Source organism: Homo sapiens, chromosome 2, assembly GCF_000001405.40.
Source record: "Homo sapiens chromosome 2, GRCh38.p14 Primary Assembly".
Lineage (NCBI taxonomy): Eukaryota > Metazoa > Chordata > Mammalia > Primates > Hominidae > Homo > Homo sapiens.
The window spans coordinates 159,052,353-159,066,182 of NC_000002.12; the positions used below are offsets into that span (position 1 = coordinate 159,052,353).

Below are 13,830 nucleotides of genomic sequence, written 5' to 3' on the forward strand. Positions count from 1 at the left end.
AAAATGAATCATGGGACTTGCCTTTAATTGCTAGCAGTGGCGTGTATGTGACATACTCGCTCCTGCTAATGTGTGCCAATCAGTAAGTTACTGTTTAATTTTCTGAATTTTATGGGATGATGCGGTAAGAAGGCACTCCCCAGAAGTGGGCCCCTCGATCTTGGACTTCCCAGCTTCCAGAACTGTGAGCCAAATAGAAGTTTATAAACAAACTTCTATTGTTTATAAATTACCATCTCCATGATATTCTGTGACAAAAGTACAAAATGGACTAAGACAAGGGATCTGTGAACTTGAATGGGTGGAGAAAAACTCAACTGTATTTTCACTAACCTCTAGCCAAAATATAGCCATTGCTTCAATCATGAAAGTGGGCAACCAACCATGTAAGATCAACAGGACATGTAACTTTGTCACATGGAAATTAACTGATTTTTGTATCATATTGTGGAAATAGTTTAAAATACATTTATGCCCATCGCTGCTTTAAAAACTGCAGTAGTTATAAAACCTGCTGCTGTGTCTTATTTATGCGTTAAGCATACTTTAGTGTATCAGGTTTGCTTTTTGAACATTTTGCTATCTGTGTTTCAATATAATTAGTTTTCTTTGTAATAAGACTGTCTACTTAAAAATCATTCAAAAACACTCTGAGGGTACAGATTGCTGAAGCCATCCATGGAACTTAAAAGGTTACAGATTCATGCCTTGGATATGGCACCCTTGTGTCTTTCTCATCCTCATTTGAGACTAGATTTGTTAACATTAAACCTGAATTTTTTTTTTTTAAGTCTTAACATATTTGGCCTTTGTTTTCTAGCATGCCTTGTCTGTGACTTTTATCATCTGGAGCTCTGGTATTCCCCTTTTGGGGCTGTTGGAGTTAATTAAAAAATTAAGCCTTCAAGTCCAACAGAGCTTAAGGGAAAAAAAAAAAAGAGAAAAAAATAAAGCTATTGTCCTTGCCCATATGCCCTTTCTCACAGGCTTCTGTGAGACTGCTTACTGCAACCAAATGTTTATGGCCAAGAATGATTTCCTTTACAAATTCCAGAGGAGAGCGCAGTGATGCATATGCTGATGTCATTGCTTTAGCTATGGGAAGAGATGATGCTGTGTGGCTTGTATGAATTTGATTCAGCTCTCCACTGCAGTATCACTGCAGGCATATCTTGGTTTAATTTAGAACTTGATATCCAAGGTTAAAACCTCACTAAATTTATTAGACTGTATAAAATTGCCCAGAGAAAGACATTGAGATCATCAGGCCATTTCTCACTGCATCCTGTCACCGTGTAACAAGCTTTATACAATTTATTCACAAGAAATGAGGCAGTTTTCTGGGTTTTTCATGAATACCATAGTTGCTAACTTCTGGGTAAGTGTTAGGAATAGGGGCAGCATTGTTTGTATGACACAAAGGTGTCTGTCTCCCCAAATCCTCCATATTGGCATTGTAGCCCACCTCCCAGGGTTCTCCCCCTGTGGGCTAATGAACTCAAGAGCTTGCTCATTTTGGCATGTGTTCTGTTGCATGGTGCCTCCAGGTCACACATGGACAGCACTGTAGTTTGAAATAACTGATAACTCGAGGGACTGTACTGTAGATGTCTCTCAGTGGAGGCAGGTGTTTTTGTTTTTTTCAGGATAGATTTGCAGCATGGGATGCTGCTCTAGGAGTGAAGTGTGTGTGAGCCGTGTGTATGTTTGGCCAAAGCCGATTTATCTTTTCCACCTGTTGAGCAGCTTTGCCTTTGACTCTCACCACTCCCTGGGGGCTGGTCTCTCTTCTTTTCAACTGAAAGGAGGCCTGGTAGACTGACTGCATGGTCAGGCTGGGGATCAAGACTGCCTGGATGCACACTGAGTTGTGTGACCCTGGGCAAGTCACTAGCTTGTCTGTGCCTTTGTGGAATGGAGATTAACAGTACCTTCCTCAGACGGTGGTTGTGAGGATTTAATCAGTATATGCATGGTAAGTGCTTAGAACAGGGCCAGGCATATGGATAGTGGTAAATAAGGGGTGCTGGCTGCACATTAGAATCACCTGGTGGGTGATTCTAATCACCCTGCGTGGGTATTGAGAACTCCAATCCTAATGAAATTAGGGCCTGGGGAGGTTATAACCTTGTTCAGCAAGTGGAGGAGCGTTTTTGATGTCTTATATTCTGGGCATTAAGTGAAAGATCCATCTGTCAGCTACATAAGCAAGAGATCATTCTGTGATGAATAGCTGCCTTTCACAGGCATCTTTGAGGCTGTCTGACCCTTCACTTTGAGGCCAGATCCAGTGCAATTTAAAAATTTTAATTTCCTTAGGTTTATAATACCAAATTTCATTCAGCTGGCATTGATTGAGTGCCTTTTAACACTTTTTGAAAATGTCCTCAAGGTCTCTTTTCATAGTAAAAGCTTATCACGCATACAGTGGCCTCCTCTGAGGGGTTCCTTTTTCATCTGTGATGATGGTTTATTGTGTACTGTGCTTACAGTGGTCTTAGGAACAAGAAAGTTTCCCCCTTAAAAATTATAATGCCTACAGGTGGAAGAGACCTGAAATTATCCAGTCCAGCAGGAAAGGGAACAGTATTCTTGGTGAAATAACAACTTGTCCAGAATCACTTTGTATACATAATGCCTCTACCTGTATTCTGGGAGTTGCGATTGCACATCAGGAAGGTGGGCAGTGTAAGTTGGGGATTGTAGCTCTGTTGTATGACACAAGTGGGAAACAACAGGAAGGAGAAAGGAAAAGAGAATGTAATTCTGAGTGTGGTTGTTGTGGAGCTAACTGTCATAAGGAGGATTGGGACTTGGGTTTCCGGTTGCCCTAAACCTTACACAAAGAAAGACTCTATGGCCCTAGCCACGCCTTCTACTGAGTTATGTGAGAGGAGGAGACCACGATCAGACTGTGGTTCATACTCAAACCCTAGGTGGTTCTCCAGGAGCTTTTTAGCTGCATGGCTACTGGGTCCCTGAGGTGATGCTGGTATCCATAACTGCTACACTTTCATCCTCATGCAAAGCCTCCCTTTCTTTGAGGCGTGTATTCTGTGCTGTCCTGATCACCTCCCTATTCCCCCTACCCTCAGTTCATTGAGGACTTTGGAGGCAGCTATTCAGTGCCTGAGCTTTCAAGTCAGGCCTGGGTTCACATCACAGATTTGCCTTTACTAATCCTGTGGGCTTTATCATTGTCTGGAATTGTTCCACATCCAAATTTTAAAAATTCTTTAAAAAGAACCAGACTCTTTCAACTTCCTCATTCATTTATTCCGACTGTGTTTGTTCTTTGATCTCTTTGAGACACCATACTTTTTCTCTCTGGCTATCCTACCTCTCAGGGCTTCATTCCCTTCCTGACCAGCCTTGATTTCACAGCACACCACTCTGAGCACTCCTGTACTGGCCCCTGCACTGTGAACTCCTGATCATTGATCAGATCCTGCATTCTCTGGACCATCCCTGGATGGTTCTTGGGGCTGAGAGTCAGAGAAGGGAATTGCACAGCATAGCTTATTTATTTATTTATTTATTTATTTTAGCCCAAGTGCTGTTTATTTAAAAGAACAAAAAAGAGTGGAGGCCCCCTAGGGACGGATGAAACAAAACTAGCAGTGCAAGTCTGCCTCTAGCTCAGCATAAAAGCTTGTTGCCCCACTGGGCCATCTTGTTGTTGATAGGCATCTTCAAGAAGCAGTCAGACTGCATGTAGGCAGCAATTTTCTCCAAAGCCTCAACGGCACATGAAAGCCTTAAGATGTGGGAACTCATCCAGGCACTTGGGCTCAAACATGCACTTTTGATCCAGGACGTCATAGATGGGAAAATCCACAAAGGTGAGCTTTCCCCTGCAAACCATGAGAATTTCTCCCAGGAACATGGAGAATTGTTTCAGTTGTTCAGGTAGCTGTTCCAAGTACTGAGGTTTCAGGGTTGGTTTTTATTTATTTTATTTATTTATTTTTTTTTTTGAGATGGAGTCTTGCTCTGTCGCCCAGGCTGGAGTGCAATGGTGCGATCTCGGCTCACTGCAACCTCCGCCTCCCGGGTTCAAGCTATTCTCCTGCCTCAGCCTCCTGAGTAGCTGAGACTACAGGCGCCCGCCACCACGCCCAGCTAACTTTTTGTATTTTCAGTAGAGACGGGGTTTCGCCGTATTAGCCAGGATGGTCTTGATCCCCTGAACTTGTGATCCACGAGAAAAGAGAAGCCTCCCAAAGTGCTGGGATTAGAGGCGTGAGCCACTGCGCCTGGCCAGGTTTCAGTTTTTCATGGTCAGAGTTGTAACAGCACTGTATCAGTTGTGTGCAGAAACTGGTTGCTTGGTTCTCTAAAATGTCCACTTGAATCTTTTCAGTCTTACCACACATGTGCTTGCCAGCAGTGTAGCACAAGATGGCATTGCTCTGGGTGACCTTGTTCTTCCCGTCCATGAAGTTGGGCAGATTAGGAAAGTCCAGGTCTAGCTTGAATATCACATCCAGCCATTGGCTTCAATCATAGGAGTTTCCTGGCATGTGTACCATTTCTCCTCATAGGACATATCCGTGAACTACAGGAGCAGGCAAATGGTGTGTGCCAGCCCGCAAATATTCCACTAACCCAGAACCATAGATGAGTTGCACGATATGATGATGCTACTTGTGAGCCTTTGAGGATAGGAGCAGTTTCATAATCGGGTGTTATGGCCTGGTCTGCAGCCTAGTTTGGATGATCAGAGCTGTTCAGCTGTCCGTTTTATTGTTTTTGGTTTTTCTGAGAATCTCCTTCTGTTGCCCAGGCTGGTCTCAAAGGCCTGGGCTCAAACGATCCTCCCAAAGTGCTGGGATTACAGGCGTGAGCCACCATGCCCAGCCAGCTGTCCTTTTAATCTCTTACTTGCCTTCCTCTCATCTACAGGGCTATCCTGAACCTTCACTGCACCTCTTACCTTGTTTTTACCTTGTAGACAAAATGGAGGCATGAATGTTTTTAGCTTCCTGCTCATGTTTGTCCACATGTTGTCTTCCTCCTCTGTCAGTTGTACTTGCCTTTGTGTCCCTTGTTGTTTGGCACAGGGTAGCAACGTACAGATGTATGTCGAATGAAAACCTGCAATTGCTAACCCAACACTCATTCCTTAATTGGAAAATTAGGTTGTAACCCAATTTCTGCCACTTGCTGGTCCAGGAGAGCCAGGGCAAGTTTCTCCATTGCTCATAGCCTGTAGAAGGATATTAATTTTACTTAAAGTTATTAAAGGATAACAGTCTGTTTTTAGGTACAATAATTCCCTTTGAAAATTATAGATTAAAATTATGTTTCTCCACAACCATTCATTGATGTTGAAATTGGAAAACAAATACTTTGCTGGGGTGGGGAGCAAGGCAGGGTCTGACCATTCAGAGGCCCAAAGCCTGGTGAAGGAAGCAGGTGTATAAACAATTAAAATAAGATGAAGAAGGCTTCGAAGATGAGGTGATTCTGTGGTGTGTTTTGAAGTGGGTGGGCTTATGAAATTCTTTTGCTTTCTCTAATATATCTAAACATCTATGTAAATACCTGGATGATATACAGTACTAGTGACAATATTGGAGTTTTGTCTTCTAGTTAGCCGTGTTTTGCTGCTGTGGTAGGGAGGTAAGTCTCAGCTAGGGAGCACTCAGGTGACAGGGAAATGAAGACAGGGAACTCCTGCCTGTAAGTGAGCAGGAGCTCTCTGCAAGACTGAGCTCTGCCTTGCACAGTAGCCATTGGCCTGGGAGACATCATGATTATTGCTGGAAATGCTGCCCTTTCTGAACCCTTCCTTTTTTTGAAGGAGAGTGTATTGATTTCAGATTTTTGGCTACTGTCTTTGCACTTATCCCTTCTGTGTGCCTATTTGAAATACCCAAATAAAACCTACCTGCAGCCAGTGCTTCTGAAAGCCTGTTATTTGAACAGATCTTACTGTGTTAAATGTGCACTTCTTCATGTATACACCAAATTATTTTGACCATAAAGTTGGGAATTAGTACTTGGTACCAGAATTCTTAAATTATTAGTCCAAACTCCTTGTTGGAAGAGAATTGCCGTTGATTTTGATTTCCCTTCCATAATAACCCTGCCACTCATTTAAAGACTTTTTTTTTAGTGTTTGTTGTGTGTAAGGTACATTGCTAGATGCCATGGGGGATTTGTGGAGTTCAACATTTTTCACCATAATTTTGATCTATCATCATATTAGAACAAGGCAGGATGTAGAATTAGAGAAAACATATCTTTTGACCATTGTGGCCTGAGAAGGCTTTATGGAAGAAATGGTGTTAGAATTTGGATTGAACAAATCCCTTTACAGGTATATGAAGATGGCTCTTGTACTTAGAAGGAAGCAACTTCTTTATCGTCTCCTCCAAAAGTGAAATTTTCTTTCTGCCAAGTACTTATCAAAATACTAATTTTCTAGTAACTTGAAATACTGGCTAAGGTAAGGTGTTTTGTTTGTTTGTTTGTTTGTTTGTTTTGGTAGAAACTCTTCCTGAAACAACCTGTATGAATGTACAGAATATTTTAAATATAGGTGGAAGGTGATTTCACCACAATAGTTTCCACTTAATTTTGGTGCATCAGAACTTAAGCATTTGATTTCCAATTTCATGCCCAGAACTCTTTTAAATTCATATTACTTGTGACTGTAAATTTACTATGCTTTTTAATAACTTATACTTAAATCTGAAGTGTTTTTGCTTAGGACAAAACTATAAAGAATAGAATAGTAGAATAGAGTTCAGCTTGTAGAATGGGTTGTTGAATAAAGAATGAATGACTGGATCTATGTGTCTTAGAGAATAAATTATAGTTTAATGTCATATTTTCCAGCTATGCAAATTAAGAAAAACCAGACTAGGTGCTGTACTTCATGCCTATAATCCCTGTGCTTTGGGAGGCCGAAGTAAGAGAATTACTTGAGCCCAGGAGTTTAGAGACCAGCCTGGGCAACCTAATGAGACCTCCATCTCTATGAAAAAATAAGCAGCTGGGCTTGGTGGTACATGCCTGTAGTCCCAGCTACTCTGGAGGCTGAGATGGGAAGATAGCCTGAGCCTGAGAAGACAAGACTGCAGTGAACTGTCACTGTCATGGTGCCATTGCATTCCAGCCTGGGCAACAGAGTAAGACTCTCTTAAAAAAAACCAAATATATAAAAAAAAAAGAAGAACCAAAGGCCAATTCTTTACTTATCACAATTATTTACGGGTTGTTCTAGCCATCCCCCGCACCCTGACACACTTTTCTGGATGAAGCATCTGGATCCTGGAGAAGTTCCGTTAGTTGTTTCCAGTCATATTGGCAAGGTCTCTGTCAATTCCTAGGATTTCTCTACTAAAGTGAGGGAAAGTGTGAGAGAAATCTTGGAATGTCAAAAACTCATCAAGGGCTGGTTTTTCCCAGCCTCCTAGGATCTCCTAGGAGTGATGAGACATGGCTCTTGCTTTCAGGAAATTTCTGTGTACAGGGTTTTCCATGAGTTTCTAGATAACAGCCAGTGTACCATCTAGCAGACCTCTTTGTGTGTGTGTGTGTGTGTGTGTGTGTGTGTGTGTGTGTGTGGTTTTTTGTTGTTGTTGTTTTTTTTTTTTGGTCTCTTACGCTTTGTTTTTTCTTATTTGCTTTAGTCTGTATTATTTATTTTGTAGGCTGCTTCAGACTCCCTGCTACCACCACCACTTTCTTGTTGCTAATATGAAGAACAGTTCTAAAGGTGTTATACAGAAGGCATGACTGTTAGTTACGTGAGTCAGACTAACTACGTTTTAAGAACTTTTCAAGCTTCTAACACAGAGGATGTTTTTGATGCTTCTTTGAAGCAAAGAAGAAAAATGTCTTAATTAAGTGTACCTTAGTTTACAGTGTTTCACTTGTAAATGTTGCTACTCTGGCTTTATTATTTTTGACAAAAGCAGCATCTTCAGAGAATTTTGCTTTGAGGCCAGGTGGATAGTTTGATGGGAGAAGCCCCTTCATTAGAGCGTGCACAGAGTATGTGTGTTTAGGTATTTGGGGTAACTGGACTGAGGTTTTAAGGTTAATTCAGATGTGGATATGAAGAGATATTGCTAAATGCAGCATTTTCCTCCCTAATATCTCATTGTCTGATGTCACATGGATTTAACTGAATTTTCTTGCATTCCTTGCAAGTGTGAATATATAGGAATATTCTTTGTCAATTATAAACTGCTATAAATGTTTGTTAATTGCTTGATTTGGAGGAAATCTTACATCTGTATTCATTGCAGCCTGTCAACAAATACTGAGAACAGGGTGGGTGCGAAGCCTGTGTTCTGGCTTCTGTTTGTATCTGTTAAAGAATAAACATAGTCCCTGCCCTCAGCTCTCAGATTCGACTTGAAATTGTGTAAATAGGCAGTATGGCACTCCAGAAGAGAAACGTTTTACTGCTAGTACTCTTCTATGATCTCAGACAAGGTGGTCATGGTTCTGATATTGCCATTGTGATTACAGACTGAAATAGATTTTGTCTTGTTTTGGAATCATCTTACTATTTTGTCTAGGGTGTTTTTTGTTATATTTTATATGCCAACACAACATGCTGTGCAGAATTCAAATACATAATGTAGAGAGGTTGTGCCTGTCCCCAAAGACTTGGTGTGCTGAAGGAGAAATACCAGAAGTAAAAGTAAGCTTTTGATAGTCTATTTAACTTCTGGGGGGCTTAAAAGAAGAATATGTGACATTTGGAAAACTTACATGTTGAATGATAGTAGAAATTTAGGTGACTTCAGGCCATTGGCCCTCTCAGAGTAATGTTACCTATTCACCTTTTCTCCTCAATGAACGTTACAGGAAATTTACTTCTATTATTCAGTTTTAGTTGTAGTAACTTTTAGTTGTAGTAACAAAGAGGCTGGTCTTTCCTTTTGTTGGGGCTCAGGACAGGATACCCCCCAATATGGCACCTTGGCATATAAGAGAAACTGCAGAAGAAAGGAGGTCCCTCTGACCTCCCCTTGCCTTTCTCCCCTGAAGCATGGTCATCAAGGAATTCTCTGACCTATCTCACCTGACAGTGAGTTATAAGACTCTCATTCCAGAGAGGTCCTGCCCTGTACCCAGAGGACAAGAAGAATCTGGACAAGCAGGCCTTGCTAAGGGCCCCCACCCCAATTATTAGGCCTCATTCCCTTTTTGTTCAATCATGCTTCTACGTGGCTGTCCATTCTTCATTGTACTTAAGCGTAAAAATTCAAGTTTCCTAAGTCTCTGGATCCTCATTTCTGAAGGCTCTTGTGTCATGCAAAACTTTGGTTGAATAAATTTGTTATGCCTTTCTCTTGTTAATCTTTTTGTTATAGGGGTGTCAGCCATGAACTTTGCCATGGGTGAGGAAAAGATACCTTTTCTCCCCTACACTCTCTTCCTCAAAAATATATAATGGAAAGAAATGACATCTGACGTTCTTCACATTTTCAAAGACTTATTCTTAAGTATTTGAGTTCAACAGTACCTTTGTTCTACTTGCTGTCATAGAGGCTAAGGTTTTATGGGGCAGAACTTGAGGGATTGTTTGGTCAGTATTTGAGTTATACCTGTGCCTTTGGTCTATAATATAAAGTAGGCCGGGCGTGGTAGTTCACACCTGTAATCCCAGCACTTTGGGAGGCCAAGGCAGGCAGATCACCTGAGGTCAGGAGTTTGAGACCAGCCTGGCCAACATGGTGAAACCCCGTCTCTACTAAAAATACAAAAATTAGCTGGGTGTGGTGGTGGGTGCCTGTAATCACAGCTACTCAGGAGGCTGAGGCAAGAAAATTGCTTGAACCCAGGAGGTGGAGGTTGCAGTGAGCTGAGATTGTGCCACTGCATTCCAGCCTGGGCAATAAAGTGAGACTCCTTCTCAAAACAAACAAACAAAAAACAAAACAAAAACCACACACATACACATATAGTAAAAAAGAACATTATTTCTTATGTTTTATCCTATGATACTTATCCATAAGTACTTCCTTACCATACAGTATGTTGGGCTTGTCATTTAATCTGCTGAGTCTGAATTACTGTGTCAGAAAGGCTGGTTTGCATCATTTCTATTTGGTTCAAGTGCATGACAGCTCAGTGTTCACCCTTTTAGGGGAAAAATGACAGTAGTTGAAGTTGCTACTGGAAGGGAAGTGTGATGATGCAGAAGAGGAGAGCCTGCTGGCTGCCTACACAGGTGGGCTTCAAGGTGCCATTTCCATTGAGGAATTTACCACTGCCTTCTCTTTGGTCCTCAGAAACTCAATATTCTCCATGTCTTAAATGGATGAGACTGGGCAAAGTGACTCCCTTTAAGAAAGCAAAGCTCGGCCGGGCGCGGTGGCTCACGCCTGTAATCCCAGCACTTTGGGAGGCCGAGGCGGGTGGATCATGAGGTCAGGAGATCGAGACCATCCTGGCTAACAAGGTGAAACCCCGTCTCTACTAAAAATACAAAAAATTAGCCGGGCGCGGTGGTGGGTGCCTGTAGTCCCAGCTACTCAGGAGGCTGAGGCAGGAGAATGGCGTGAACCCGGGAAGCGGAGCTTGCAGTGAGCCGAGATTGCACCACTGCAGTCCGCAGTCCGGCCTGGGCGACAGAGCGAGACTCCGTCTCAAAAAAAAAAAAAAAAAAAAAAGAAAGCAAAGCTCATGAGAGCTTTTGTTTAAAGCTGGAGTACCGATTTGTTAATTTATTCTCAGAATTGTCTGTCAGCAAGCCAGACAGTTGTGTGAACTGGACCAGCACACTCTCTCCCTACTATTTGCAGACTAAGAAAGGAGCCAAATTACGAGGTGTCTCTCAGTGTGAACAGAACCAGAACAAGAAGTAGTTGTATCATGCCAATGTGTGACAGCACCTAGCTCCAACAGCCCAATGTGTCCATTTCCAGAATTGGATATAGGGGTATGTGTTTATAAGTGTGCAGATACCAGATAGTCTTCTCTGGAGTGTACTGTCATTATTGGCCCCTAGGGTCTATTCCTATAAATGCTATTTGTGACCATCCCCCTTTCAGTGGGCATAGCCTGTATGTCCATTGGTGACTGTTAAGTTCCAGTTATGGGTTTAAGGCCAGAGACGATTGAAACTTCCAGGTGACTTTGTATAGCTCCACTCTGATCTGTGTTAGTTTCAGAATTTAACTTGCTGGGAAGACTTACTTTTTTCCTTTCCAGTCTGGGGGAGGGGAGGATGGTTCCTTATTTTTGCACTCAGGTATAATCAGTTAAAGTTGCTCCAGGTCGCAGTTTGAATAGCTTTTTTAAGAATATAAAATTTAAGCTATTTACCTCGAGTTGCTATTTATGGAGGAAAACAGGAACTGGAAGAAATACTATAGCAGATATTTGATAGCCTCTTTCACTTAAGACCACTGATGTGGAAGGTATGTCTATCCTGAAAATAGCTGAGTGCCCCAAAATAGGAAAACAGGGTGTCTGGGATGAGATACCAGAGTCAGTGTCACCTAGTCCTTGCCCCGTGTGATGCCTATTCTGAGTGGCCTGGTAGGTGTACTGCCAACTGGTGATGACCTGGGTGATTAATCGGGAGCAGCTCATGGATGTGGTGGGGCCTGAGCTTGGTCAATGATCCAGGTAAACACACGGCTCTGGAAGAGTTCACCAAGGCTTGGTGCAAGGGACCTTGCATGAGCTTCGGTGGCATGGCTCTGTCAGTATTTTTCTCTTATTTTTTAGGTAGTTTTTGCTAAATTATAAACCCCAAAGTTGGTTGGTTGAAGAATATGTCTGTGTTTACCTATCTATTTATTATTAACTTTTACTACCATTTTTTTATACTACAGTGTTTTTCATTGTTTCTCTGAAGTGTGCTTGTTAAGAGAAGTTTGTGTTTTCCATCGGTTCCATATGGAAACTATTGCTGCCTTCCAACTTTAGTGTTTGCCCTTTAGGTGAAACCTAAATTTTTTCACCAGGGTTTATTCAAGCAGCATTTTCAAAAACAGAATTAGGCTCTAAGCCATGCCCCTTCAGTATGTAAAACTTGTGTGTAAGATGATTTTACTCCGATAACCTTCAGTATGGCTTTTTCCAAATTCTGCCTAAGATACTATCTTTCTAGTATCACTCAGTTTTGTTTGATTGTTGTTGCCCAAAGCTTTCATTGATCTGTGAGGAGAGACCGGCCTGGTGGAGGGGAGGAAGGTGGTCCTGCTGGGCTGCTGCAGATTTGGATTCTGGCCCTGCTGTTAATTAGCTTCGTGACCCCTGGCAAGCCAGCCTCCCTGGGTCTCTGTTTCTTCATCAGTAAAACAAAAGGCTTGGGAAAACAAATACAGGCTTGGACCAAATGATAAGAAAGGTCACCCTGCCTTTTTATGTTGTGTGATTCTATGAATGGCAACACATTGGGATTCCTTACCCTTCTCAACGGGTGCCACAAAACTTCTGCTTACTCTGGGGGCTGAGAGGTGGTGTGTGGTGTGTTACACTGAGGCCATTTGAGGCATTTGTGCTAACTAGGCAGATGTGGGAGCCCTCCTACATAGGAGTTTCTCCCTCCTTGCCTCCCTTCCTCTGCTCCCTTCCCCGTCCTCATTCCTCCCCTCCCCACCCCTTTTCTTGCCTGTTCAATAGAGACCTGCTTGCCTTCTACTTCCCTTAGTGCATTAATAAAGGTGTGATGGTAACACAACCCACTAAGATTGGTTACCATCTGGGGTTGTTCAGCCATCTCATCTGAGTTAGCAGTGGGGAGAGAGAGCTTAAAGGAGACTGGCTTCATGATGAAATAATGGTCCTTTTGTCTGTCTCTTGCTGTAGAGATGGTTTCATGTTTCATCTTAGACCTGGGCCATTGTGTTTTTACAAGCTCAGTACAACCCTGCTTAAAGATACAGCCTTTTCTTTAAAGGATCTGGCCGTAGTGCCACAGGCCTGTTCTACTTACTTCCCTTCCCCACCCCAAAGTTATAACTTCCTATATATTGTAAAAACCCACTGTGGTGTGTGCTGTTTAATTGGGTTCTCTGATCAGGGTTAAAATGTGTTCCCACTGTATTTATTTTGCAAATGTTTATAAGATATGCCTCATTTCATAACCTTCCAAAATGTTTTCCTTGTGATTATATAATTAGTAACACCTGTAAAACATTGCCTTTAACCATGTAGCTTCTTTCATTATCTTTTTGATTTCATGTTCTAGTGCCGCCTTTTGATGAACTGGGATTGGGAAACTGTGCCAAATATCTTGCAGTACTGTACCCAGGTTTAGCCTCATAACCTTAATTAGATGTGGAATGCTGAGAATGCACTATTGTTTTTTTTTTTTTTTAGCTTTTCTAACAACAGTGAACTTCTGAGCACTTCATTAAAAGTTATAGAACATTCCTTGTGTCTTCAGCATTTAGTTTCCCACCATAGTTTATTCAAAGAAAATTAATGTAAGGCTTAGGGTACCTTAATATTAAGCGGTCTGTTTGTTTGAACACAAGTTACCTCTTTTGTCAAGACACAAGTTATATTCCAACTTTCAATGTTTAATTCCTCTTCTCTCTGTTTCTTTTCTCCTTAGAAACAAGTGTTGAAAATGTTAAAGGCTGTGCTGAAGAAGAGCCGAGAGGGAGGAAAGGGAGGCAAGAAGGAAGCAGGTATGTGTGCAAGAATGAGAAGCTCAGCCATGGACAGCGGGCAGCAAGCTGCTCCTCACCCCAGGCCGGATGGATTTGTTGCTTTGGGAGTGGGTCAGAGAGGGTTACCTGGGTTAGAACAAACAGTGTGCTGGAGGCTATGAGAAATGAAATAGGCCAGACATGGTGACCCACACCTGTAATCCCAGCATTTTGAGAGGCCAAGGCAGGA

At 42.1% G+C, this 13,830-nt stretch overlaps 1 protein-coding gene and 1 pseudogene across 37 annotated transcripts in view, besides 1 other annotated feature; one reads left to right on the plus strand and one right to left on the minus strand.

Moving 5' to 3' along the window:
- TANC1 (tetratricopeptide repeat, ankyrin repeat and coiled-coil containing 1) overlaps window positions 1-13,830 on the plus strand; it is a 264,020-nt gene that overhangs the window by 83,713 nt on the left and 166,477 nt on the right. For 19 of the 37 annotated variants that reach the window (NR_146421.2, NM_001350065.2, NM_033394.3 and 16 more), the window contains one exon: window positions 13,544-13,619. Coding sequence is in view for 36 of the 37 variants with exons in the window: in NM_001350065.2 (NP_001336994.1) it covers window positions 13,559-13,619 (61 nt within the window). In the remaining variant the exon portion in view is untranslated. Of the gene's footprint in view, window positions 1-7,664; window positions 7,761-13,543; window positions 13,620-13,830 lie in introns of all 37 variants that reach the window. The other 18 variants (XM_047446107.1, XM_047446108.1, XM_047446125.1 and 15 more) reach the window with 1 other exon arrangement.
- GSTM3P2 (glutathione S-transferase mu 3 pseudogene 2) lies at window positions 3,552-4,668 on the minus strand (annotated as a pseudogene).
- Window positions 11,966-12,494: an enhancer, noted in NCBI's record as "NANOG-H3K27ac hESC enhancer chr2:159920830-159921358 (GRCh37/hg19 assembly coordinates)". NCBI's record gives its function as "activates a minimal SCP1, AML or CMV promoter by ChIP-STARR-seq in naive H9 embryonic stem cells {active_cell/tissue: H9 hESC(naive)}" and the evidence as "EXISTENCE:reporter gene assay evidence [ECO:0000049][PMID:30033119]".